The 27,499-nt window shown below is 37.5% G+C and overlaps 2 protein-coding genes across 7 annotated transcripts in view, besides 2 other annotated features; one reads left to right on the plus strand and one right to left on the minus strand.

Moving 5' to 3' along the window:
• The window catches only part of PROSER1 (proline and serine rich 1), a 28,225-nt gene extending 12,768 nt beyond the window's left edge, over positions 1-15,457 (minus strand). For 2 of the 4 annotated variants that reach the window (XM_011535239.4, NM_025138.5), the window contains exons 1-8: positions 14,566-15,457; positions 11,499-11,564; positions 8,931-8,999; positions 6,649-6,743; positions 5,595-5,688; positions 3,645-3,755; positions 1,841-1,924; positions 420-498 (exon numbers count right to left, since the gene is read on the minus strand). In XM_011535239.4, coding sequence (XP_011533541.1) covers positions 420-498; positions 1,841-1,924; positions 3,645-3,755; positions 5,595-5,688; positions 6,649-6,743; positions 8,931-8,999; positions 11,499-11,564; positions 14,566-14,610 — 643 coding nt within the window. In that variant the 5' untranslated portion in view covers positions 14,611-15,457. The remainder of the gene's footprint in view (positions 1-419; positions 499-1,840; positions 1,925-3,644; positions 3,756-5,594; positions 5,689-6,648; positions 6,744-8,930; positions 9,000-11,498; positions 11,565-14,565) is intronic. The other 2 variants (XM_047430652.1, NM_170719.4) reach the window with 1 other exon arrangement.
• Positions 13,686-13,795: an enhancer, noted in NCBI's record as "active region_7597". NCBI's record gives its function as "activates an Ori minimal core promoter by ATAC-STARR-seq in GM12878 lymphoblastoid cells {active_cell/tissue: GM12878}" and the evidence as "EXISTENCE:reporter gene assay evidence [ECO:0000049][PMID:35858748]".
• Positions 14,938-15,167: a silencer, noted in NCBI's record as "silent region_5275". NCBI's record gives its function as "represses an Ori minimal core promoter by ATAC-STARR-seq in GM12878 lymphoblastoid cells {active_cell/tissue: GM12878}" and the evidence as "EXISTENCE:reporter gene assay evidence [ECO:0000049][PMID:35858748]".
• Positions 15,458-15,678: 221 nt separating the features above from the next.
• On the plus strand, positions 15,679-27,477 carry NHLRC3 (NHL repeat containing 3). Of its 3 annotated transcripts, none has more exons than NR_073109.1 (7): positions 15,679-15,833; positions 16,504-16,656; positions 16,932-17,079; positions 19,473-19,673; positions 21,458-21,549; positions 24,408-24,520; positions 25,042-27,477. NR_073109.1 is itself a non-coding variant. In NM_001012754.4 (7 exons), the coding sequence occupies exons 1-7, from the start codon at positions 16,008-16,010 to the stop codon at positions 25,292-25,294; spliced, it is 1,044 nt and encodes a 347-aa protein (NP_001012772.1). In that variant the 5' UTR covers positions 15,824-16,007; the 3' UTR covers positions 25,295-27,477. The 3 variants fall into 3 exon arrangements, 2 of the variants coding, with proteins under 2 accessions (NP_001012772.1, NP_001017370.1); NM_001012754.4 differs by having other exon boundaries at positions 15,824-16,091; NM_001017370.3 differs by lacking the exon at positions 19,473-19,673 and having other exon boundaries at positions 15,824-16,091.
• The last annotated feature ends 22 nt before the right edge of the window (positions 27,478-27,499 follow it).

Here is a 27,499-nt window from a genome sequence, read left to right on the forward strand (position 1 = left end):
CATTGCAGGGATAAGTTCAGTGAATGGCATGGCAGGCAGAACCTGCTATACTTACATTATTTGTCTTTTCTGCCAAACGCATATACTTGACTTTTTGAAGTTAAATGCATGAATGATGCCTCTGAACTACCAACTACCAAAAAAAGGAATTCAAGATGATTTACCAAAGTGAAAACCCATAAATAATGAATGACTAAAAATAATCTAATTAATTTATCATAAAGAAAATATCCTAAATAAACTATCTGCTGCAGTGTTGTAGGCCAGGACACTACTAGCTAACTATGGGCATAATTAAGCTCACAGTAGCATTTCATAAGTGCTACAGATTTGCCAACCACATAGACCAGCATTTACTTTCAATTTAATAAATAAACAGCAAAAAAGAAAAACAAGTAAAAAATAAGGGAACTCCTTACTTGGTGCAATAGTTGCATGTGGTCGGCATGGAGGTATCGGATAAGGAACAGGTTTATGTGGATTATATGTTGAAGGAGGCTAAAACATGGGGGAAAATACAGCAGTTAGAAGAAAATCAAGTAAGCTGTCTCCTGGCAACTTGTCTTTCAAAATATTTAGTCCTAATATGCTAAAAATGTCCCCGCATATCATACTACTGGACTACATGGGACAACAAATGAGGGAAATTTCTTTGCTTTAATAAATGTGGTTGCTATTAAATTCCAAATGCAGATCTTGCCAAAGATGGCCATAGAGGTGGCCAGAGATTTTTAAAATCATCTCCAATAAGGGGTTAGATCTCATTGTAAACAGCAAACTCCTCCCAGGCCCAGCCTAAGTTAAACCAAGAATTCCTGTTTCCTCCTACATAACAAAGACAAGAAACCTTCTAGGTTTTACAATCTCAAATTACGCAAGAACTCCCAATGGCAACATCCTCCTAAACTGATAGGAATTCATCCTCTCATTCCCACCCTCTTTCCTCCTTTTAGAAGAAAAAAGCACTGTTTGCGTTAGCATTTGGCATTCTGACAACTCCAGTAGAACATAGACTGGAATCAGGAATTCAGTATGTTAGTTGTTCTGCCTTTTGAAATCCATAAATCCACCAATACTTATTTTACAGTTGATGGAGCTTACCTAAGTAACAAAAAGCATTCAAAGCACTGGTCTTTAGAAAACTGGAAGTATCTGAAGCTAAGCCAGATGCTGTACTTTTTACCTACAGAGAGAGCATGTGCATGCCTGTGAGGCAGGGGAAAGGACCCACTGGTGGTAAGGGAGCCAGATTCTTTCCAGCTCCCATAATTGTGGCCCTATCTGAAGTCTTGTGCAAGAACCATGATCTGTTACTATTCTGCCATAAACAACTCCACTGGAGTTCTTGTCATGTGGACAGGCAGGTTTTGCAAGGTGGTTGTATGCAGGCCTCTAGTACTTCAACTCCAAAGATCCTTCAACCCATGGGGTTGTCTTCTCCTGTCCTGTTTACATTGCAATCATTATAATCACTATCTTGTAAATACTTTCAACCTGTGACTTCACTGTGGTTTCACTAACACTAATTCAGCTAAACTACAAACTTAGTTAAAACAAGCTCTCCACACTCCGTATCTCCAACTGAGCAGCTGAATGCATCTCGAGAAAAAAACTGAAAGCAATTTCACTGATTCTACTTTAAAATAAAAAGCTCAATCTCAAAGGGGCTCTTACTACTGTTAAATATTTATGTTTCCCTCATCCATTCACTCTCTCACTCTCCTACAATTTCTAGAATACTTCAAACTTTGCAACACAAAAATAAAATTTATGCTTTGAGTAAAAAGGAAACTTTATGTAGGAAGGAGTTTGGGCTTGTTTCATCATTTTCTAAACATACTGGTTTGGATGGCCCAAGAATTCGTGCAGCTATTCCTTTGCCTTCGTTAGTACATTCTTCACCATCTTTTTTCAAAGGAGTTCCCTATTAAAAAAAAAAAAAAAAGGTAATTGAAACTTAAAAAAAAAACCCTCAAACCAGTAACAATAACCAACCTCACTGTATTACACTGAAGAAAAGGACTTGGTAAGAGTGTAAAGACTTGCATTCCCATTTCAGTTCTGCACTGGCTGGCGGCATGACCCTGATAAGGTCCTCAATCCTCCTATGCTATGGAACTCTCATATCACATGCAAAGGTACTCAGAAGTGAACATGAAAAACACAGAGAGGATGACAGGAAAATATAAGGTATCCACAGGGACTGGTTCTAGGACCTCCCCCATAAATACCAAAATACATGGATGCTCAAGTCTCTTATATAAAACAGCATAGTATTTGCATATAACCTGAACATATCCACCCATATACTTTAAATAATCTCTAGATTACTTATAATACCGAATACAATGTGGATGCCGTGTAAATAGTTGTTATGCTGCATTGTTTTACTGTATTATTGCTTTTTTTCGGAATACAGTATGTTCTGATTTTTCTTCTTCACAAATAGGAGCAATCAGAAATGAACTTCCAATGCCACAGTATGTATAATACTCAAAGAATAAGAGTACCTATGTTACAGTTGAAAGTAGATAAGAAAAAATGGTGTTCTCTATAAAGATTAAGTGTGATTATTTATATTGTCAAGGGTAAATGAGACCTTATTCAAGACTGTTAAAATTAACAGATCAGAATAAGTTGATAGATTATTGCAGTGTGTCATCGCCCTAACACTGTGTGTGGCTAAATGGTATATACTAGTGTGGAAGCCAACTCCCAAGATGTCCCCCACTGATCCTCATCTCCTACCTGCCCTTGCACCATTCCCTCCCAGAATGAATGGGGCTGACCTGTGTAACACATGGGACATTGCAGAAAGGATGGCATCTGACTTCCAGGCAGCTTCCACTTGTCTTCTCTTGCTTGGATTACTTGCTCTGGTAGAAGCCAGCTGCCATGTCATGAGGACATTCAAGCAGCATTACAAAAAAGTCTTTGTGGTGGACAACAAAGGACTCCTGCCAACCACCAACACTACCTTGCCAAGCATGTAAACGAGTCACCTTGAGGCCCTATTCTTGGGCTCCAATCAAATTTTCAGATGAATGTAACCTCATGAAAAGACCTGAACCAGAACTATCCAGCTAAGCGTTCCAATATTCCTGACCCATAAAAGCCATGTGAGGTAATAAACATTTATTGCTTTAATCCAGTAAGCTGTGGGGTTGTTATGCAGCTACAGAAATATAACATTCTTTGAGAAAGCTGTTTTACAAAGAGGTTTGAGGAACATTAGATGATATAAAAACAAGTTTCTTTTTTATAGTACTTCTCAGAGCCTTTATATGCGATTCCCCAGGAAGGAAACACTGTATGCAAAGTTTCCCAAACACACTTCACTGAGTGAAACTGAGATTGTAAGAATACTGAGAATTTGAGAACTGTTCCTTTACTAAATGTAAATCAGTGCTTCTAAAGTACTTTGAAAAATAAAATCATCCTCTCTTCTATTTGTCTTGTTCTATAGATTTTATATAGATACCCTTAATACTTTAATGAAGTTTAGACATGAACTTTCAATCAGTGGTGAGCCTGTGAATTAAGTTACCGACATAAAATTCCTTTCCTTTAAATATCATTAACTTATTCTACACTTCATACTTAACCATGAGAAGTTTCATATACAGCTACAGAAGTATGCTTACTGGGAAAATTCCATTTATGCGGCTAGGTCTTCCTTTGGGATATGGATTTCCTGGGATTGTTCCACAAGAAGATATCATAGCATGAGGAGCTTTGCAGCCCCCCTTGAAAGCCTGTAATATAAGAAAGAAGAGGGGTAGGAAAAAAATTCTTAAAAGATAAGTATTCTGAACATTGGGAGCTCAGCTAAAAAAAACATGAATTAAAGAACAGCACTACATTCAATCTGCTCATACATAATTCAGCACTTACAGTGGTGAATGTGACCAAAAGTAATAAAATCACTTTATTTAAATGGAATAATTAAAATGGTTAACATAATAATGCTGCAACAGACTCATACAAAGAATGTCTTCACAGTAGATTTTGTAAATTGTGTAAAAAAGTGTTTATTATCTAATCTGTCCCATTTCTTCAACTAGCAAGAAATAACAGTTCAAATCTACAAATGCCAAGGTCATGTTACATTTGAGGAAAGGAGGACACAGAGATGGAAGAAACATGGTCCCTGCTCTTTACAACCCAGTGGAGGACATCATAAACAAGTAACATGACATTGGGTGGTCCAAAGACCTACATACCGTTCAAAAACCAACTTAGACAATGTTCAACATACTATTACATATTTATGAGAAATAGTGAGGGAAGGGATTTAGGTCTAAGCTGTTTATTACTGCATCCTCAGCTTCTAAATGATGCCGCACACACACTGAGTTGGTGCTCAATACATATTAATAAATGAAAAAACACTGTATTAGGCAACATATATTCCAATGTATCTATATTATGTTATAGAAATATCCAGCTATACATATGTGTGTGTATATATATATTCACAAGTATGTACAATGTATTTTATTATATATTGGTTTTATAAATCCCTTCACAACACATATATGTATATTAGCTATATAACCCAGCCCCTCTACTAAATACCCCAACCCTGAAATCATCTGAATTTTTGGCTATAATAAAGAGTACCGGGGTGAATGCCCTTATATATAAATTTGTATATTTCAACATTTCCTTCAAATAAATTCCTAAAAGTAGAAATTTGGGGCCAAAAGGTATAAATATTGTAAAGGCTCTTCAAGTTTACCTTCTAGAAAAGTTGTACTAATTTATATTGACCAGAGGGCCCACTCTACAGAACACTCAGGCCCAGAATATTTCTGAGAAGGAAAGTGACACGATCGGAACACTTCATAAGAAAGAAAACTACAGCAGTAATATGCATGTTGCCTTAAAGGTTTTAGTCAAGAAAACTGGTAAGGAAGTTACTGAAGTAAATAAACATGGCTCAGATCTTAACTCTTCTACAACAATGTATGACTAAGGTGAATTTGCCTACCATCCCTGGGCTTAAAGGAGTTTGTGAGTATTAAATACAACTGAACTGCCAGGCTCATAATTAATTAATTAATTCAGCTTCCAGACATCGCAATCCTACCTTAGAAATAACTACCTTAGATGACAAATCAAGTTTTCTAGGGTTGGACAAGTACTATTTCTCCCATTCTTACAGATTTTTAACTAATAAACTGGAATTTTAACTAATAAACTGGCTTTAATATTGACCTCTTATGAATCCGATTTAAAATAAACTGGATAACAAAGCAAATTTGAAAAGTTAAGTTCCTAAGTACATAAAGTTTAAAGCAAAAACTTGAAGCCATGGCAAAGGTACCAAGGGACCAAGACACAAACATTTCCATGAGGCTCAAGCTGAGTGGCCAACTGACTTCTCACTCTCAAGCCATCTCCTCCCCCTTGAATGTCCCCATCAACCAGCTCTATTTCCACGCCGCAGACCGCAGGGATGTTCATTTTTAACCCATTGTACAACAGCATTCAAGTTATTCACCAAAGTTAGTAAGAAGAAAGGTGCTTTTTCGTCTTCAATATTCGGAAAAACCAGCGTACCAAGTACATGACAATCTTTAGAAAACTACCTGTTCAAGTATTCTCTTGCACCGTTTCTTCTCAGACATATTTACCCTGAATAAATCTTCAATAGGACGAGAATTCTGTGCATCAATAATGTTCCTACCAAGAAAACACAATTTAGCTTTTTGTTTAAAAATCTGAACATACATCGAGGTAAGCAACCTTTGTTTACCACACAAACATCTGAGTAAGCGTTCTCCATGACATAGGGAGAAAAGTGTGACTATTTACTTTTAACAGCTCAATTTAAATAACATGTTTATATATAAATATAATAACTTAGGTTTATCTGATTACTGAAAAGTAAAACAGTAATACTGCAAATAAAAATCATTATTTTGAGATTTTTCAAAATATACTTTCTTCAGTGATAGTTAGGAGAGCTATGCCAATAGAACCAACCCATGTGTTAAATGCATAAAAATCATTTTATGCTAAATGCATAGTTTTATCTTGTGCTTTAATTTTGTGCTTTTATGGACACCTATGCATACAAAAAGGACTTAAAAATGTATGTGTTACAAATAAATAACTTATACATTCTTCAGTTATGCAAAGGAGTAGGTTCTTTCCATGTCTTTTTGAGCTTACATTCATTACGGTCATCTGTCAAATGCTGTGGTAGGTGCTTTCACAGACTTTCTGATATTTAAAGTTCATTACCCTATTAAGTGGGTATGAGCCTTATTTTTACAATTGAGGCAAATAAGGCTCAGAAAAAATAAGCACCTTGCCAAAAAAAAAAAAAATTATTGTGTCAGTAAGTGAAAGAATCTCTAATTCTTAAATTCCTGTCTTTTCAGAGTAGGAAGGCAAAGCAAATAACTGAAATACAAAAAATCAAATTAAACAATCTTGTTAAGCCCCTTCATTTTATAAGTTATAGTCATATATGTAATAAGTACACTAGATACTTATTCACATTTGGAAATCAGAATGTACCACTATGCTTTTGACTGTATTTTGTTAGACACATTAACACACACTAATTAGACACTTAAAACGCTTCTACATTTTTTCCCAAGTAAAAAAAAAAAAAAAAAAAAAAGAAATACTTACGAGGCTAACAGTTCAAGAGCAACTAGTTTGTCTTTACTGAAAGTGAAACAGTTGAGTATATTGACCACTTCTGTTGGCTGGACAGCCACCATTTTCTGTTGATATAAAAAATAATTTTATTTTTAACGTGAAATTTTCATGCCAGAAATTACCTTTTTCTGGAAGTACAGTTAAATGCTCTTAATATAAACATTTTAGATAAAATATATCACATTTTAGGTGAAAACCACTTACTCAAAAGAAAGTTCTAACAATAAATGAATTATGCTCTATCAACGTAACCATTTCAGTTGAAGATCTAATGAAGATCTAAGTTCTCCTACATGCTCCTTTTTTATCCATTTCTCAATGTGTTCAGTTACAGAATTAAAAAAATCAGAAGTATTACTTTCCTCAGAAAGGTTATATAAAAAGGTGATACTCATACACATGGGAGATTAAATTGTTCAAAGGTTAGAAAAACATTACTATACTCCTCAGTTAGAGGGCTAAGTATGCCACAGATCAGTGCTTCCATGATGTTAAACATATTACAAAAAAAGGTTACACTAGCCATATAAGGTAGGGAAAAGCTGGGTTAAACAGGTTTCTCTACTGCAGAACTTTAAGTCTTATTTTAATTTAATGTGCATTGTGATGCACCAAGATTGTGTGGAATGTTACATAATTATTTGACTAGAGTACCTTTATTTCTGAAGAACATTCAGAAGATTTGGCCAATTTGGACATTTATGTTAATAGTGAAGGAAAATTAAAAGCAACATCAACATAAGTAAGACTGGTTAGAATCAATATCCAAGAGCTCCTAAAATTTGGAGGAGTGGTTTTCACATACTTTTATGTACTACCAGAAGAACTAATAAAACTATAAGCCCCTTTGCATGTTTTTAAATTGATACCTAACAATTTTATCAGAAGTTTAAATACTCACAAAAGGTCGATTTTCTTAAATACATTTATATATCTGAAAGAACTTTGAAACTACTAATTTAGCTCATTTATGGAAATATTTATTACGTAACTCAACTGGCGAAATCAGTCTTCAGTGAGAAAACAATCAAATCAGACTGACATTTTTAGAAAAGGTCAGACTTAATTTAATTCAAATAAGTGTATTGAGTTGTCCCTGTGATACCCTTGCCACCTCTGAATTTTAAGTCTAAGGCAGGGAGACAGGCAAGCAGGCCTCAGAGCTCTGTCATGAGTTTGTTGTCCTGATAAAATAAAGCAAAGCCCTCATCAATATTCCCCCTGCCGCAGCCTCCTGGGTAGTTAGGACTAAAGGAGCATACCACCACACCCAGCTAATTTAAATTTTTTATATTTTTCTAGAGACAGGGTCTTACTATGTTGCCCAGGCAGGTCTAGAACTGCTGGCCTCAAGCGATTCTCCTATCTCAGCCTCCCAAAGTGCTGGGATTACAGGCTTGGCCACCACCCCAAGCCCCTTATCAATATTTCTTACAGAGCCTCTCTCTTTGCTTTGCTCTCCCTCTCAAGAGCAAAGCACTGTCCTTTTGGAACCTGGAGAAACATTTTCACCCCCAGAGAACAGGTGCGATAACTCTTTCTTTTGCAAAGCAGTAAAAAAGCAAGTATTAAAGAGGAGGTCAGAAAGCAGCACTAACAGACCCAGACACTTTCTTAGGCTCATCAGTTTAGAAAGTCAAGGATCTGTAAATTGATTCCACTGAAGATATCCAGGCCTGATATTGCTTCAAAAATCTTCCTACACAGCCAGATACTCCTGTGTGATCCAGATGCTCCTGTTGACCTAGGTTCTAGAGCTGTGCTATCCATATAGTAGCCACTAAGCACATGTACCTACTTGAACTAATTACAATTAAATAAAATTAAATATAGTTCCTCAGATGAGGCACATTCAAGTGGCTACCACAATGGACAGTGCTGATATAAAAATTTCCATCATCGCTGAAAATTTATTTGGACAGTAATAACTCTTCTAAGACTAAATAGAAAGATGGTGACGATGGATATTAAAAAACAGAAGTGCAAAAAACCATTAAGAATTCAAATCCTATATTTTGCTTGCTGGTGAAGTTTTCTTCTAACTTGCCAATCGGGACACTGTAGCATACAATTTAAATGTACAGTTTAGAAAATTTTAATTTTTTAACATAGCTATTTTGAATCAAAGTACAATAACACATAGAGTTCGCTTTTCTAATGCAAATAAATTACAACTGAAATAAATTACACACAACTGGGAGAATTAAAAATACTTAAATTCTACGTTCTGAAGGAAAAAATAAGTTACTTACATGCTGTAATGCTTTCATTGCCTTCAACTGGGGCTCGGCCCAGGAAAAATATCTCAGCAAATCAACCACCTGAAAACAAAGAACTAACAGCTCTAATGACAGCATGTTTGCAAACATTTCTATAAGATTTCAGTACTTGAAATTATAATTCGACACGTGCAGCCCAGGCCCAGGTGATACAGGTGGCATTAAAGTTTAAAAACTGTGCTAACAGAATAGCTATTATATAGTTATATACATTTAAATAACTTAAAGTCAAATAAAATGTAAAAATCAGTTCCTTAGTGACACAAGCTACATTTCAAGTGCTCCAGAGCTATGTGAGGCTGATAACTACAATAATGCACACTGCAGATAGAGAACATTTCTACCACCACAAAAAGTTCTACTAGACAGCACTGGTCTAGAAAGAAAGAAAAATATACAATACAGAAAAAAACAAAGTATCCTAATAGGAAAAGGATGGTTGAGAAGTACTAGATGGAGATCAAATGTCAGCTCAGGATTATAAAGATGGACTGTGAATGGAAAACCTTTCAACACGAGGGGAGAACAGCACTCACAAAGGCACAGTGGTATGTTTTAGTGTAGGTCCACTAACTTTAGTCCTAGTAGGTCCTTTAACTTGAATCTGGAGGGCATAAACTCAAATCATAAATCTAGTCCCTTAAAAATGTTAAGAGTCAACATGAATTACTCCAGCAGCCCCTAAATGATACATCATTTGAGAGCTCAGAGTGTGCAGCTCAGATTAGCTCCCACCACCACCTAAGAACTTCAAACAAATGAGGGAAGCATTATGAGATAGCCAGTAAGAGGGGAGCACAGGGCATAAAGATCAGGACACTGAAGTCTCAGCATGATCACCACCACCCTGTTTGACTGCCTCCAAAGATGCTCCAAAAGGGGAAAAAAGTGATACAAGAAGACAGTTCCTGAAAATACGCTAAGGTTCCAATTATTCTATACAGCAAGGTCAATGGTGCAAACTGGAGTGGTATGTAAAGAGAGTAAAAATAATTTTTACTCCTTATAAAGAGATATATATATATAGCAAATAAGTATTATGTATACTTTCCAGTTAATTTGATAAACGTCTATGTCCTTAACTTTGATGGGAATAATGTTCTTAATATCTAATAAATGCTATATTTTAACCAACCATAAAATTTTACAAGCCACCATATCTAAGATACAAAGAAAAATCTTTAATACAATAAGCTCATTTAGAAAGTGGCTTAATAAACTTTGTAATGACTTTAGCAAAGTGGAAGCATCATTAAGGGTGGTACATCACATACACCCAAGAAAAAAAATGCTATTAGCTGTAAGAAATTATATATCTTTTTAAAACATTTAATTTTTTTTTTTTTTTTGAGACAGAGTTTTGCTCTGTTAGCCAGGCTGGAGCGCAATGGCGCGATCTTGGCTCACTGCAAGCTCTGCCTCCTGGGTTCAAGCAATTCTCCAGCCTCAGCCTCCTGAACAGCTGGGATTACAGGCACCCGCCATCATGCCCGGCTCATTTTTGTATTTTTGTAGAGATGGGGTTTTGCCATGTTGGCCAGTCTGGTCTTGAACTCCTGACCTCAAGTGATCCGCCTGCCTTGGCCTCCCAAAGTGCTGGGACTACAGGTGTGAGCCACTGCACCCAGCCAAAACATTTAAATTTTTAAAAGAGCATAAAGTAACTTTGTAAAGCAATGGGAAAGCTGAAAAACTGACATAAAGACAACAAATGCAAATCATAAAGTAGCTTTTAAGAATTTAGTGGGCAGAACTTCTATAGGCTTAAAAGTCATTTAAGGTTTCAAGTTTTGAAGTTCTTGAGAAACCAATGAAAAGCTGGACCATTTACTAACTCAATTGGAGCATTTACTAACTCAATATATACATTTATTGTCCATCCTTTCCCCAAGCTGTTCTCCAGACATTTCTATTAATATTTATGCCTGACTTCTCTATCAAGAATTTTCCAACTATCCCTCAGAAACATGCCCCCTTGTGTGTGTGACACACATATATTTTAATTAGCAAACTGCCCCTAAGGTGGAATGAAGTTTTCACTAAACTATCATGCTTAAAATGTTAGTATTCTGGCAGTTACAGAAACTACTTATTAAATAACACTGTGTATTTTTCTTACTGTTGAAATTTTTATTTAGTGGCTTCATATAAAAACATATTTCATTATTTGTTCACATTTTCTTTTATATTACATGACGAATTTTGTAATTGTCTTACATGTAACTATAAAAATTTGGGTAAATTTGCCATTACGAGTCTCTAAATCTTTGATATTGTGCCCAGAACCATAAACACTTTGAATTGCTTTAAGACCCTATATTTAAAATCATTTTAAAACATGAATTGGGGTGAAAGTGGAGAGGTGCTTAGTCCCTGAATTATAAATTCTGTAGAGTTTTCTGCCAAAACTGAGAGCTTCTCGAGTTCTTGAATAAATACAGCAAAAAGGTAAAACCAATTCTGAATTCGGCCAGCAGACAGACATTAACCAGAACATTGGTATAAAAAGAAAGCTTTGTTTAAACAAATAATGAGGAATACCTGTTCACTAGAAAAGTATCCATGCACATATTCAATTGCTTTTAATTTGTATTCTGTCAAAACAGCCTAAAAAAAAAAAACACACACACACAGAGTAAAACAGCATTAATATACGTAAGCAGCACAGTAATATACATCTATCAAAACTGCCCAAGCAACTCAACAGTGGCAGGTCTACTTCAGCCCTGTCATTCAGAGGAACTAAGGTCACTGTGGTGAGAGGCCCTTCCTTCCATCTTTCCAGGTTCCATACTGTGAGGGACACACTGAGCAAGCAGGAAGATCTGCTGGGCTTCCCTACCAACTTCTACAAAGAAAGGGAATAAAATTGTAATAGATATGATTCAACATCAGTATACACAACATTTAGAATTCCTAAATATGTAATTAAAGAGTTTCAAAACATTCCAAATCCAAATTGTCATTTTTAAGATTAAACATATCAGATGTTACTCATTCATCAATTATTGAATATCTACTATGTGCTAAGTGACAGAGAAGCAAGAATAAGACAAGGTCTAGTTGAGGCTCTCAGTATTTCTATAGGGACATAAGAATGCAAGAAGTCCTGAATTCAATGTCTGTGCCTGCCACTAACTGGCAGTGTAGACTTTGAGAGGCATTTTAATTCCTTTTGAGCGTCCTCATTCATAGAGGGAACACCATTCACCAACCTCAAAGAATTACTATGAAGACTATAATAGTGGACATTAGATGTGACATATAACAGGTATTCAGTAAGTGATGGTTCCTTTCCTTTTCGGAATCTATCAGTGGGTGAGAGAGAAGTTGGTGGCTTTGATGCAGCACTATCTAGAGCCCACTAAATCACACATGCTCCCCTTGCAGCTATTTGCTCAGCTTAGAGATGGAAACAGCTATCTTAAGTCAGTAGCCACTAATCATTAAAAATGAACTAATCCCTTTGCTTGTACTATAAAATAATTTTAATATTCATATTTTTCACATATATCATTCTGCTAGGAGAAAGTATTATGACCAGTCAACTGAAATATCCTGGGTGCTCAGTAGTTCAATATTCACTGAAAAGGGAGAAAATGGCATTCTAAATAATGTATTCCTAGGAGTTTTATTATCAATGTAATAATCGGACACAGTCAAATACAAGTTTCTGAACAAAGTCTTGGATTGTACTGATGCCAAGTCATATCTCAATTCTTCCATCAATGCCTGAGAGGCCCAGCTGTAACCCCAGGCAGGACAGCATGGTGCTCTGCAAGCATAGTTTGAATACTGCCCCCAGCCCCCAACTTACCACCTAGGGAGTCTTGAGCTGATAGTTAACCTCACAGAGAATAGGCCACCAGCTATAAGCAAGAAGTACAGTGCCTACACCTCATGCGTTGTAAGGAGAATCAAAACAAATAATGACTGGAGAAAGTGCTTAAAAACAGGCTCACAAAGTAAGTGCTCACTAATTAATAGCTATCATTCCCTCCTTTTTGAATAATCAGTTAACCATTGCTTTTTCCCCCTTTCTACTCCCTTTCCCAGTTCTTCTGCTAGTGGCTTCTTATATGCCTCTGTTTTAAATGACAGTAGTGACAATCAGTATTATCTATCATATAAACTCACTGTGATACTCAAGAGATGACCTGGTTTAAACTGACTTACATTTACAAAGAACGATTTTTAAGAAAATCAGTAGTAATGCTCATATTTAGATATGCCAATATTTTATTCCATTTTAATAGACCATGACAATGTTGATGTGTCTAATCACTCGGCAAAGCCAGCAGAAGATATATTTTAACTGCTGACCAGAAATACAGACTTAAGTTGCCATCTCATGTGAACAACACTTTCATATCTGGAAAATTTCCTATTCCCCTCTTTAGAATTTACTGTGACGTTTTTATGACACCAGGAAGAGAATATGCACACTGAGACCCTGTATCTTCCAAAAGTAAAAATCTGCTGGTCTACTTGGACTCACCAATTATTTTCTCATGAAAAGTAATTAAAAATCAGCCCAAGAACAAATTGTGACAAATTTCTAGGCATATAATTAGCAAACCAATATTTTATTTCAAAAATTAATTGGACACTTAGGTTTGCAAAAGCAGAACTTGTTCAAAAAAGAATGTTCAGTATTATCAAATATGAAAACTTAAACACGTCAATTTGAAAAAAGAAAAAAGCTGTATAAAAACAAAGCAAAACAGCAAGACCAGAGACAATTTTAATAATAGCTTTGTAAACTGAAATAAGCACCAGAGCACATGGCAACAATTTCTTCCGTTTCAGTCAAGGGTCGTAAAGGTATGCAGCTGACGAAAGAATAATTGCCCGGAAGGCCGAAGGAAAGCACCGTGTGTTGATGTAACAATGGTACATCAAGTCCTTACATTTTAAAATAAGTAACTTCTCGGTATTTTTGTGCTTGAGATATTGTTAGGCTCAAGACTACCTTCCAGAATTGTTGCTGTCTGGTTCACTCTGGGAAATGCGATCCACACAACAGCCTCAAAAAGCAGCAAAAACTTGGAAAGCAGGAGAAAAAAGTTTTGAAGCTCAAGTTATTGACGGCCAATTCCTAAGAACGTGACTTTAAACTTAATGCCACACTTACCATCAGGACACGAATTTTGCATGGCCAACGCAACAAATATACTCTACCTTATGCTTAGATTTGAAAACCCCATCATAATAACTACCATAAAAGAAACTTTCTGCGTATTACCTCTCGTTTTCAGTCACTCTTGTGTTACTGAAAGATGAGGCAATAAACTCAAAAATATTAAACCCCTTACCCAAAAAGTACAGAGCTATTACGGATTTGTAAAGCCGGCTTTGGAACCGAGGGCTTTACAAATGTAATTCCCACGACACCGTGCTGAGTCTCAAATTTGGCGTTAACGTAACTTAATTTCTATTTGTACTGGAAACGTATCAAGATATAAACTCCTCCATTACACGTGAAAATTCAAACCAATTTGGCAATCCTAGGACCCTTATTCTGCACAATCTCCATACAGTACCTCAAAGAGAGTCTAAAACACGAGAATTCATCTCATAAAATAATTCATGGAATCGGTCTAATTACCTTTCTAATTTCATCCAGCACCATTTCAAAGGACTTTTTATCCATCTTGACTACTATCCCGACGTGGTTTTAACAGTTATACTTGCAATTAAAAGACGTTCATCCCTGGTCTGCTCCGCCGATAGTAAAAAATATTTATAGCTGAGGAGGAAAAAGACTCCACGAGCAAGAGAGGATGCGAAGAGGTAGAGAGTATTGCAAACTTCGCAAAAAAAATTTCTAAAAATTGAGATTCAGAAAAACTCTTTTTATTAAAAAGAAAAAACACTCCAGTCAGGCTTCCCCAGCTTATTCACACAATGGTTCAGGGCACCTCGGGCAAGAGCCAGGTCCTCTGAGTTTTGCAGAAAAACCCGGGCTCGGCGGCAGGTTTGAGTGCGGTTTCCCTGCAGCTGAGGGCCAGGTGCCGCCAGAGGTAGCTCTTGAAGGCGCTTTCCCAGGTGGAGCGGCCGGCAGAGTAGAAACACCTGCGCTCAGAGTCCACGGGCGGCGGGGAGGGAGGCGCCGGTCTCTCGACCCGCACCTGCGCCTCGGCCGCCGGCCGCGACCCTCACCGCCGCGAACCCGGACGCATGGTCCGGCTCGCGCTCATCCCCAGCCGCTCCGCCCGACTCCTGGATACCTCGGCCCCGGCAGCAGGCGGCCCGGCAGGCTCTTTGTTACCAGCTGCTGCAGCTTCCGGGAGCGGGCCGGCGGCTGGGGAGCACCAGGAGCCGGGCGAAGAGGGGCACGGCCTCGCATAGGGGGACTCCGGAAAAACGCAGCCCCAACAGCGCCAGACGCCCTGCCTGGTTACCCCTACAGCCCCCACCAGCTCATGGGGACCTACAATAAAGCCAGTCGCGCCCAAGTAAACTCAACACTGCGCCGCCAGCTTGGGCCCCTCTTTCCTGAAAGCCAGAGGTGGGGTCCTGGTGTGGGAATATAGGCATCCATAGCGGATGCCTGGATGGTAGGAATAGGATGTGGCAAAAATCCTTCCCGAAGCCTAGCGGTCATTATTTTGAATGTCATCCCCACCATACCTCGTGTCTGAGTGTGCGATGTTTTGATTTTGCCCTCTGGATTAAAAAGAATAAATGGCGAGCGATTAAGGCATATCTACGGGCGCCCATACTTTGGTGGCCACTGAAAGTCAGCGGCGCGGACTGCCCTGAGGGCGGGAAAGGGTGGTCACTGGGTCAGCCCGAAGCACCTGACATGAGGGCGGGGACCCCGAAATGCACACGAAGTCCGGAACTGGTCTTCTGTGATTTTCATTCGCCCTGGTCTCTGTTCCCTTTCGTACTCAAAGCTCGTGCATCCAGGGAGGGGAAACCGGAGATAGGGTCTTCGGGCCCCGGGCAGACCCTCTGTGCCGCTGCAAACCGTTGCAGCCTGAGGCTGTCAGGTCCTCCCCCAGACACCTGCGGACCCTCCCTCTCCTGGCTTCCCGTCTGGTCATGGCGAGATTCTGGGTCTGCGTAGCCGGTGCTGGCTTCTTTCTTGCATTTTTGGTTTTGCATTCGCGTTTTTGTGGCTCTCCAGTGAGTTGGGTAGTGAGGAAATGACTGTCGGGTGTGCGGGTAGCCCTGTTGGGAGGCGTCGCCACGGTCGTGGCATGGAGGTGGCAGGCCCTGGTTCCCTCAGTAGCTTGTCTCAAAGCCTGCACCTGGGTCCAAACTGCCTTGACCCTTTGAGTTTAAAAATTTGTGTATGTTACATCGCCATTTTCCTCTTTCCCAACTCTTACTACATCCTCAAATAATTTGCAGACTTGTATTGTGGTCGTGTTGGTCTTTAGGCATCTAAGCTCATTTCTTTGGAATTATTTCAGTCCAGCAAACTTCTAGTTGTCAAGGCATGCTTAAAAATAAGCCCTGTTACCCGGCCCCCCCGCCCTTTTTTTGTTCTTACCTAGACGGTAAACTAAATCTGAATTGTCTGATTTTGTTTAAGGTTTTGAGGAACTTTACTTTTGCAGTTTCCTGGAGAACTGAGAAAATTCTTTACCGGCTGGATGTGGGTTGGCCTAAGCACCCAGAATATTTTACCGGAACAACATTTTGTGTTGCAGTTGACTCCCTCAATGGATTGGTTTACATAGGTCAAGTAAGTAAATAGAGATTTAAAAAAATTATGAACACAAAGGAAGTAACAGCCTTCCTGTCTTGCTGTAGTAACTGACCATATGCGTTTATATCATGCTAATTGTGCAATTTATTTTTGAGTTGGTCTCAAGTATTTTGGTTTCGAATGTGAAAGATATGTTAGATTTTGAAAGTGGTTTTTGTAGTAAAATTCTCAGTTATTTTTTTTCTTCGCCAAGATACAGATTACCTTTCCTTTAAGCTGATCCTAAGAAGTTATTTTTTGTATACCTTCAGAGAGGGGATAACATCCCAAAGATATTAGTGTTCACAGAGGATGGATATTTCCTACGAGCCTGGAATTATACAGTTGACACACCTCATGGTATATTTGCAGCCAGTACTCTATATGAACAATCCGTCTGGATCACGGATGTAGGAAGTGGTATGTATAGTAATATCTATTAAATTATCTTACTGGAAATCACATCTTTGCACATGTCCTTGTTTGTATTGTTTAAAATCAGAGTTGCTGAATCTAATTGTAATTTCTTTAACGATTCATGAAATCACATGTTTTTAACAAACTTTATTTTGTACTTCTGTGGAATTAAGAAATTTAACAAGGGCTGGACGCCGTGGCTCACGCCTGTAATCCCAGCACTTTGGGAGGCCGAGGCGGGCGGATCACGAGGTCAGGAGATCGAGACGATCCTGGCCAACACGGTGAAACCCCCGTCTCCACTAAAAATACAAAAAAAAAAAAAAAAAATCAGCCAGGCGTGGTGGCGGGCGCCTTTAGTCGCAGCTACTGGGGAGGCTGAGGCAGGAGAATGGCGTGAACCCGGGAGGCGGAGCTTGCAGTGAGCCGAGATCGCGCCACTGCACTCCAGCCTGGGTGACACAGCGACACTCTGTCTCAAAAAAAAAAAAAAAAAGAAAGAAATTTGACAAGGAGCCTGTTAATATGATCTTTCCTTGAACTTGTCTAGGGTCTTTTCCTCTTTAAAGCATCAGTTGCTCTTCTCAGATTAAATAACTCTAAACTGAAGCCAAATAAAGTGGCAGTCTCTGAAAGCAATGACTGGAATCCTTGACTCTTATTTTCCTTTTCCAGTTTTCTTTCATAAAAGATTGTGAAATCGTAACTGCTTTGTTGCTCAAAGTGCAAAGATTGCAGAAACTGTTGTTAATGTTTTTGAAATTCTACTGACTGAAGCATGTCTGAAATCTTCCTGCCATCAAATATTTTTAGTAGAAAAAGCTGAAAAATGAAGTGAGCACAACTGAATGTGCAGCTATGGAGAAAGTTTTCAGAGAAACAATTCACCTGTGGCTGTAGCTTAAGACAAGGCAATACCTGAGATATCCTGGCATTACCCTAGGAATTCAGGAAGAAATGGGATTATAAAGACATTATTTCTAGTATTCCTTGGCCCAGTTATGTTCTTGAATTGAGAGACATCCTGGTTCTACAGTCCTGGCTGATTCAGATACCATTTTTTAGAGATAATGAGTTCTCAGTTTCTGTAAGTAGTGCCATTATCACAGCTGTTCTCAGAACCCATAAGATTTCTGGGCCTCAGCTGATGGCCCATTTATTTCATGCTGTGTTTTACATAGTATGAATCTGGTTCAACCAAAAAAAGTCTATAGATTATCACTGAGTGAATTGTTAATACTATAATGAGAGTCTATTTTCACTTTTTTCCTGAAGATCCACTGTTAAAGACCATTTCTTTGAGTTCATTTTATTCATGTGATTTTTAAAAATAAGACTTCCTTGATTCCCAGAAATAAAAAGAGCACAGACGATCTCTTCATTTTTTCCATTACAGCTAATTTTCTACCCAGAGATCTGAAGACAGTTTTATATTCCCATTTCCCAAAGGAATAAATTTCCTCTAATGAAAAATATGGCTACAAATTAGCCTTTTTTTTTTGAGAAAATTTTTTATTGGTAGTCTTTTTTGCTAGTTTTTAGAAACTTGGAGGCTTATGTGTTTTTTATTGCTATGAACTTTAGCTCAACTGTCTAAAAGTGTAATAGTAAATAAATTATTTAACATAGAATTGTAATGCAAGCTGATTCACTTTCTTTCTGGTAAGCTCAATGTATCCAGTTTGTCTTTTGAATACCTATCAATTAATTTGGCATATGTACCTTCAAATTGATTTCTGTTCACTGCTTTATGATATTCCCTTATTAGTAGTCTGCTTTATGCTCTTGCTTGTAAGATAATTTTAACTTAAAGAAATTTTAACGTGAGAAAATAAGATACTCATGATTTACAAAGATTATTTTCTTCTTAGCAAAGAAAAGTTGGGTTGAATTTTGAATGTCTCCACAAGGTGAAAATGCAGTTAAAAAAAAAATCTGTACCATAGAGAACGTTTTTGTTGACTTACTGAAATTTAAGGTCTGTATGTGAGTGATTGAAATAACAGTTTCAAATATAAGTTGTTCCCTTTACATTTTCTTCTTGATTTCCTTTCATAAGCAATGCTTATTCAAGGTCATAAGATTAAAAAAGAAAATGGTGCACCAATACTTTGTTAGCATTCTGAGTTTCCTGTATAATGAGTCAATTATGGGGATGTTATTTATTTGAATTTAGAATCCGCTTATTTTGGACTAATGGAGATTTTAATTCGTGATCAAATTTGGCTGTAATTTACGAAGAAGCTATAGTGCTTGTCAATTATATGTAATTTCCTAAGCCTATCACCTATTTGTTATTATTTACTTCTATCAAATTTTTGCTCTTAGCTTACTTGAAAAATCTGAATGTTTGTATAGTGGTTTTATTTGTGAGATGTACATATCTATCTTTATAGGATTCTTTGGTCATACTGTTAAAAAATACAGTTCTTTTGGTGATCTTGTTCAAGTCTTGGGTACTCCAGGCAAAAAAGGCACTAGTTTGAATCCTTTGCAGTTTGATAACCCAGCAGAATTATATGTAGAGGACACAGGAGATATTTACATTGTGGATGGAGATGGAGGATTGAATAACAGATTGATCAAACTGTCCCAAGGTACATTACTTGTTTATGGTATTATAAAAATATTATAAATTGATTTTAATTTGTTCGATATTTGGTATAATGTTTTAAGTGTTGTGTATGAAGCGGTGTGTAAAGAGCTAAGTGTATTACTACGAGAAAACTGAAAAACAGATGGGTATGATTGCCCACAATAAATGATCCTGATAACAGGCCCACTTATTCTTCACCAAAGGCCAGGAGATTCCTCCAAAAGTAACTGGCAACAGTATGAGAATTTCTAGTGGGCTCAGGAGATAAGTGTGTATCCTATTTAATTAAGCATGTAGAAATTAGAAACCTAGAATCCCAGACTCAAGTATCCTACAGGCTGATTAATCAGCAAGCATTTTATTGAGTGCCCTTTCTGTGTCCTCTCTAGTATCAGGAGGTGCAGATCTATTATGTATTGAAACAATGAAATGTAGTCTATGCTATTGATTCTTAAAGCAAAATGGACTTAGGAGGAGAAACTAAATTGCCTGGAGAAATAGAACAAGATATCATGAAGGAAGTAGTTATTGAACTAAACTAGTTTTGGTGGGAGGAGAGGGGAGGATGGATGGAACATTCATGGAGGGTTTATCATGCATGGTCTACAGGCATTTATTAGCAGGAAAGAAGGTGAAGATGCACTTTTTCAGCAGCAGAAAATACAATTTGGGATGTTTCTGAAGTCTTATTTGAGGATTATTAAAGCCATGTTTTTGCCTATAACATTTTTGAGGTTTTCCTAGTAGAAAAGTGATGTTACAACAGCAGGTTTTATAAGACATTCTTTTAGGATCTACTTCAAGTGAGCTCTGTCATTTGGAGGCTGTGTAGTCAATTTATCAATTAGTAACTGAATTTGGTTGATAACAGTTGAAAGGGAAATGTAGAATAAGGATAAAGCAAGAATCCAAAAAATTGAATGAAAGAAACAACGAAATCTAGGAGACAGATTGAATATAAGTGTATTAGTTTCCTGTGGTTGCCATAACAAATTGCCACAAACTGCGTGGCTTTAAACAACATAAATTTATTCTCACAGTTTTGGAATCCAGAAGTTAGAAATCTGGTAGACTGTGCTCACTCTAAAGGTCCTGCCTTGCCGCTTCTAGTTTCTGGTGGCTCAAGCATTCCTTGGCTTGTGGCAGCAAAACTCTGATGTCTGTCTCCATATTCACATGGCGGCCCCTTCTTCTCTGTGTGTTTTTGTGCCTCCAGTCTTTCCCTTCTTTCTCTTAATAAGGATTTAGGGCCCACCCTAAATCCAGGATGATCTCATGAGATCCCTAATTTAATTTTATCTGCAAAAACTATTTCCAAATAGCATCACATTCCCAGGTATCAGGAGTTAGGACTTGGACATCTTTTTAAAGGACCACAGTTGAACCCACCGTAGTGCGTAATAAAGGAGATAGACGGTAAAATCATAATGTGAATTTTTAAGGTCTGTGGAATACTAATATCAAGTAACAGATAAGTTGGGAAGGGGAACCAGTTTTAGGGAGAGGATGGCATAAACCCTAAACAATGATTTTGAAGCAGTCATGAAAAATTCAAGTGGAGATAATAATTAAAGAAGTAGATTAATTCCCTAAAGCAGAGAAGGAACTTTAAAAAAAAAACTGTAAGAAATGGGCAAATGGGCATATAGACAGGAAAGCCGAGAAAGCATAGTCAAGTGAACCAGCGGTGTAATTAAATAGTTCTTTGTAACCTGTTTCATAAAATATGCAAATGCATGAGACATTCTATATGTTGCTCTGACTATATATTTTTACCGTTTATAGATTTCATGATCCTTTGGCTGCATGGAGAAAATGGGACAGGGCCTGCTAAGTTCAACATACCTCACAGTGTTACACTTGATTCAGCTGGTCGGGTACAAATACAGCGTCATTGTGTCTGGGACTTTGTGTCTGAATATGTTTGTGTGTGTGTGTGTGTGTGTGTGTGTGTGTGTGTGTGTCTGGGCATGTATATATAGATTGTGGTATACATGTGTGTCTGGGCATGTGGATACATGTGTGTTAGTGGGTATGTCTGGGTAATTACTCTGGGGCTGGGTGTGCACACATACTTTCTTACAAGTGTTTGAGTCCTATAGTGAGGGGGTTCCCCAAACATTTAGAAAGGAGCAAAATGGATTTCCTGTACCATTTAAAAGGATAGAAGGCACAAATAATGGATCTGAACATAAAGTTACCTGAAAGAAAAAGTTGCCCTCTTACTGGGAAAACTCCACTAAAAGTGTTTGAATATCTTTTCACTTCTCAAGAAAAAAATGTGCTGATCTAAAGTGGAGTGGGAGAGGTTAACCTTGGAAGTCTGAAAAAGAGTCACCTAGGCAAACTCTTGTTCTCACTAACTCCACATTGTTTAGGGAACAGAAAGCTTTAGCCAACAAATTTCAATCAGTTTCTCTCTTTTCTACCCTACTCACTACTATCTCTTTTGCATTTACTCAATTTCTAAGCATAGATCTCACTTCTTTGAGGTTACCTTTTCACAACGAAACCGCCACCAAAAAATTTGTATATTAGTTTCTCCTGCTCTTTTCCTATAGCAGCCTGTACTTCGTATCATAGTAACTATCATGCTATATTATAATCATTTGTCTGTCTCCCCTAATAGATGTCAGGCTGTTGAAAGTGCTTACTGAATCTCTTTTGCTTTATTTCTTTGTGCCTAGTACACAGTAGTCATATTTATTTATTAAATGACTAAATGTCTTGACACACAATGGGTACATTAGGCTACTTGCCTTCATACCATTAGGCATTTAATCCATTTCTACTTCTGATTCAGTGCTCAGCAAACAAACTTCTAATTATGACTTGGCTTCCTAATCATAATTGATTGACAAAAATGAGAATGTTTTGATCATTAAATCTTCTGATCTGCCATAAGACGTTAATCAACCATGTGAACTTTGTATATAAATTGGGAACTGGAAACTTTGAATTAAACTTTTGCACATTATCCTCCTGAGCTTGGGTGACTCATTGTGTGCTAAGAAAAAAAATCAAATTTCAGAACATGCGAGACCTCGACCCAGGTAAATTCATCATGGTGAGGAACGCCCTTCTAAAAGGCCTTGGAAATCATCTGATGGGGGTACTCTGGCATTCCTGAGTGATAAAGAGTGTCAATTATACAAAATTGTGTTTTATAACAATAGCAATTCTGTTCTGAGCATTTTACATAATTAATTCATTTAATCATCACCACAACCCTATATGAAAGGTTAGTCAGTTCCAGACTTGTTGTTATGTGTTAAACAGGAGTTCCCATAATCAAAATTCATTGAGTGTTGAGCAGGACAGATGATGCTAACAATCTAAAGTATCATTCCATCCTAGGGTGTAAACTATACTTCTTCCTTGGTCATTTGTCTGGGATACTAGTCTCAAACTCTTTAAGAAAACCTATCCTTACTAAAGGACCATAGATCAGGAAAAGACCTTGAGAAATTGCTTTACTTTGGCATCAACAACCTTTCTTAAATGGTGTAGTGAGTTTTGATTTGTTTCTGATTGGAGATTAATTCAATGGCTACCAAAATTCACACATATTGATGAAGCTGTAATCAGGGTTACCTGTGAAGAAATTATCTCTCAATCCACAAACCCAAGAAATCCAAAGGACCAAAAGCAGGGAGGTAGAAGTAAAGAGGACTGACCCACTCCCAGTCCATTCTTTCATACCTCTCTACAACCCTGGCCACAAGTCATCAAAAACCATTTCCTGCCGGGTGCGGTGGCTCACGCTTGTAATCCCAGCACTTTGGGAGGCCAAGGTGGGCAGATCACGAGGTCAGGAGATCGAGACCATGGTGAAACCCCATCTCTACTAAAAATACAAAAAAATTAGCCGGGCGTGGTGGCGGGCGCCTGTAGTCTCAGCTACTCGGAGAGGCTGAGGCAGGAGAATGGCGTGTACCCGGGAGGCGGAGCTTGCAGTGAGCCGAGACTGCGCCACTGCACTCCAGCCTGGGTGACAGAGCGAGACTCCATCTCAAAAAATAAAAAAAACCATTTCCCTTTATGCTTTAAGCTGCATGCATGTGGCCATGAAATGTCATTTAGAATGCATCTCACTTCTTGTCTTAGAACAAGTTCCTTAATAACCCATTACAGCCTATAACAAACCTAAATTAAACCTATTACTGTTCTTTATTTGTTGCTAAAATACCTCAGGCTTCTTCAGTTGGTTCAGCACTCTGTACATACCTTGGTAATAGCAGGTATGGGTTTAATGATACTGCAATCTGAATGAATACCTCACATCCTGCTATATTGAGCTCTTGAGAAGTAAGGCTGCTTTTCTTTGTCATGTTGCCTGGCCCAGGAGCTGACAAGCCAGTAGTACTCATTGAAAAATGAATGCTTGTTAGAGGAATGAATGAATGTTGTCAGTTTTCATTATCTACTGATCCCCTGCATTATGGTAGAGTACTCCAGCTTTTTAGTTATTCACACATTTAGAACAGTAGACAGAGTATTATAAGCTTTGGGTTAAGACAGCTTTGGGTTGTGCCTCTCCCATTTGTAAGCTCACTTCAGAGACGGCAACCTTTCTGAACTTTAGTTTTTCCTCATCTGAAAATGGGACTTAACTACCTTCTTTGGAATCCTCTTAAGTGAGATAATGTATGGTGAAACTAATGAAAATAAACATTCTTTTCCCTTTTTTCTTCTCATGGATATTTTTCAATTGACATTTTTGTGTGTTTCTCAGGTGTGGGTTGCTGACCGAGGAAATAAAAGAATCCAAGTATTTGATAAAGACACTGGGGAGTGGTTAGGAGCATGGAATAATTGTTTCACAGAAGAGGGACCTTCTTCAGTCAGGTAATTGTTTCATTTTATTGCAAAATGCTTGTTTTAGTTAGTGTATGTGTCTCACTTCCTCTGAATAGCTAGCTGAAAGTTTAAAATATTTATTGTTAATTTTGAATTAGGGGAAAATAGAAATATACAGAGAAATTTGATATCCAAGATTTTCAGATGCCAGGTAAAGTGAAAACAAGAAATAACATATGCTAGACCTCTCCTCTAGCCTTTATTTGGTAAATGTTTAAACAGGACAAAAATCAAACCCAGCCTAACATCAATTCTTCATTAATTTCATTTTGTGGACTATGATATTGATACTTTTAACAAATTTAAGCTAATCTTTGGCTTTGCTTACCATCATGGACATCTTATTCCTTCATAAACAGAATTAGATCAAATTAAAATTCTTCTTAAAAGAATCATTCAGCAAGTAGGTGCCTACTGTTGTTTGGCACAGTAGGGGATTAAAATGTTGAAAAAAAATACCCTTATGTTTTTTCACAGACATTTATTATGTTAAATGTCTTTCTCCTTAGGTTTACTCCTGATGGGAAGTACTTGATTGTGGCCCAGCTGAATCTTAGCAGGCTCTCAGTCGTAGCAGCACCCCCAGTGGGAAGCATTGGGGAGTGTTCTGTGATCAGCACAATCCAACTAGCAGATCAAGTTTTGCCACATCTCCTAGAAGTCGACAGAAAGACTGGAGCAGTCTATGTAGCAGAAATTGGAGCAAAACAAGTACAAAAATATGTCCCTTTGAATAGCTATGTTCCTTCATTTGGTTCATAATGTTTCTTTCCTGGGAATATTTCAAGTGGCAGTTCAGATTCTCAATTCACTAAGTGCTTAAAAATGATGTTCAAGCACAAGAATTTATTTTTCTAGTATAAAAGATCTAGTATCAGAAAGATTTGTTTTTGTATCATTAAGAATCTTATATTTTGTTGCCCTCTTGGGACTTAGTTTTATTTGTAAGTGCATAAGGATATTTTAATGAAAGGAAAGTAACTAAAAAATGGGGTTGGGAAGAGGGACTAAGGTGGTAACCTCATTATTTGCCCTGGTAGACTGATTCTCCCTGGGTAAAAAAAATGGGAATAAAAATGAGCTTGCATGATAATTTATTAAATTTCATGTGAAGAACTCCAGACCTCCAGATTGTGCAACTAACATAAAATGAGCTGCTTGAGAGATTGTAAATAAGATGAACTATTGATTAATTTGAGTACCCACAGAGTGCTGTGTCTTGACGACTTAAAAATGAAAAAGCAGGATTGCCTTTTGAGTAGCTTGCAGTCTAGTGGGGAGACAAGCAGGCAAACAGTCACAACACAGCAAAAGCGACCTTGGAGCATAGTGGGACTTTTGGAGTAGGAGTGCTGCATTTGACTGAGGGAATCATGGATACTTCGCAGGAGAAGTGAATTTGAGCTCAGACTTGAAAACTGAGGAGGAGCTTACCAAGGGACAAGGAGGAGAAAACAATAATTTCCAAGTAAAGAAGGTATAAAAAGTTAGAAGTGTACTGTAAACTTTGATAGGCTTTTAGGCCTTTTTTAAAGCCCAACTTGGCTTCTGTCCATTACCTATAAGATATTTAATGTCAGTCAGCCTTTAAATGTAGGAATAAAATGGCTGGCATCTAAGCACTTTAGTAAAAGAGGTTTTTACAAATAACTAAGGATTGTAGAGCTTCCTTCTCTTTTTTTTTCTTTTTCTTTCTTTTGTTTTACATGAACTCAACTTATTCCTAACATTTGTCTACCTCAAAGAAATTTCAAGATTATTTAGATAACATGGATATGTGCCAAATCCTTTGAGCTGTTAAGATGATAATTTCCTGCTTTCCTCCTACATCTTCTCCTCCCACTCCCTCCTTTGGTGTGAATATTGGCTTCCCAATTAAGACCTTTTTTTTTTTTTTTCCAGTTTGTTTTAGCTTATTATAGGTTTTGGAGGAACTTTGCCATTTTGTAATCTTTCAAATCATTCTTCACCCTTCCTCACATCAGCTTCCTGCTTTTCCCAGTGTTTTACTGTAAATTGTGTAGCATATGACAAATCTTGAGCTGACTTTCCTCTTCACCTGTTATGGCTGGAGTATTTTCCAGACCTGAAGGGACTCACACTTGTTTTGATACTTGGATCACATCTCCGTGAGGTTAGGAAGGTAAATCTACCAACAGGAAGCCCTGTACTCTGTATTCCAAGGCCATTGGTAAATGTGTTGGTGCCACTGATCGGACTGTATGACCTTAAACAAGTCACCTTAGTTTTCAGTGAAATGGGAATATCATTGTCTCCTCTTTCATGAATGCTGTGAGAATCAGATGTGCAACAGGTACAGACTTGCCCTTTGAAATCTATACCTCTGGATACATTAGAGGCATTTTATTAACAAAGGCCCTTCTAAATGTGCTATTTATTTGACAATAACTATCAGATTTGCCTTAATTTTGTGTTTATAGCATTTATCAAAACGTATCCTCATAGACTTTATGCAGATTAATATGGTCAATTGATTTGGATAAAAGAAAGTAATTTCAGGGTTTGTTTTTAAGCCAGGACAAGAAGTGCAAATGCCTCTTTGAAGCAATTTAGGCTAAACTGATTTTGAAATTTCAAAATGTTTTATTTTACTTTGTTTTATTAAGCCAGGACAAGAAGTGCAAATGCCTCTTTGAAGCAATTCAGGCTAGGTAAACCGATTTTGCCATTTCAAAACGTTTTATTTTACTTTGTTTTATATCAGAGTCTTATAAAACCTGCTGCAAATATTTCTGAATGTCTTTGTAAAAGTGTTTGTTAGTGTACCTGTGATTATAGTACTTCACTTTTTTCCTTTGGATTAATTGGTTAAATGAATGAGAAATGTGTTATGTTTTTTACTAAAAAGTATAAATTAAAATTTTGGAAAGAAAAGGCAATATTATCTGGCTCCCCAATTAAAGTTTGATTTTATTGTCACAAAAGCAGTCTATAACTTTTTATTCC

Source organism: Homo sapiens, chromosome 13, assembly GCF_000001405.40.
Source record: "Homo sapiens chromosome 13, GRCh38.p14 Primary Assembly".
Lineage (NCBI taxonomy): Eukaryota > Metazoa > Chordata > Mammalia > Primates > Hominidae > Homo > Homo sapiens.

Bases quoted from the DNA above. Each gene is read 5' to 3' on its own strand.
- NHLRC3 (NM_001012754.4), top strand. From the start codon at position 16,008: ATGGCGAGATTCTGGGTCTGCGTAGCCGGTGCTGGCTTCTTTCTTGCA. The intron at 21,550-24,407 runs GTACAAATACAG...TGTGTTTCTCAG, and splicing joins CACTTGATTCAGCTGGTCGG to GTGTGGGTTGCTGACCGAGG. The intron at 24,521-25,041 runs GTAATTGTTTCA...CTTTCTCCTTAG, and splicing joins GAGGGACCTTCTTCAGTCAG to GTTTACTCCTGATGGGAAGT.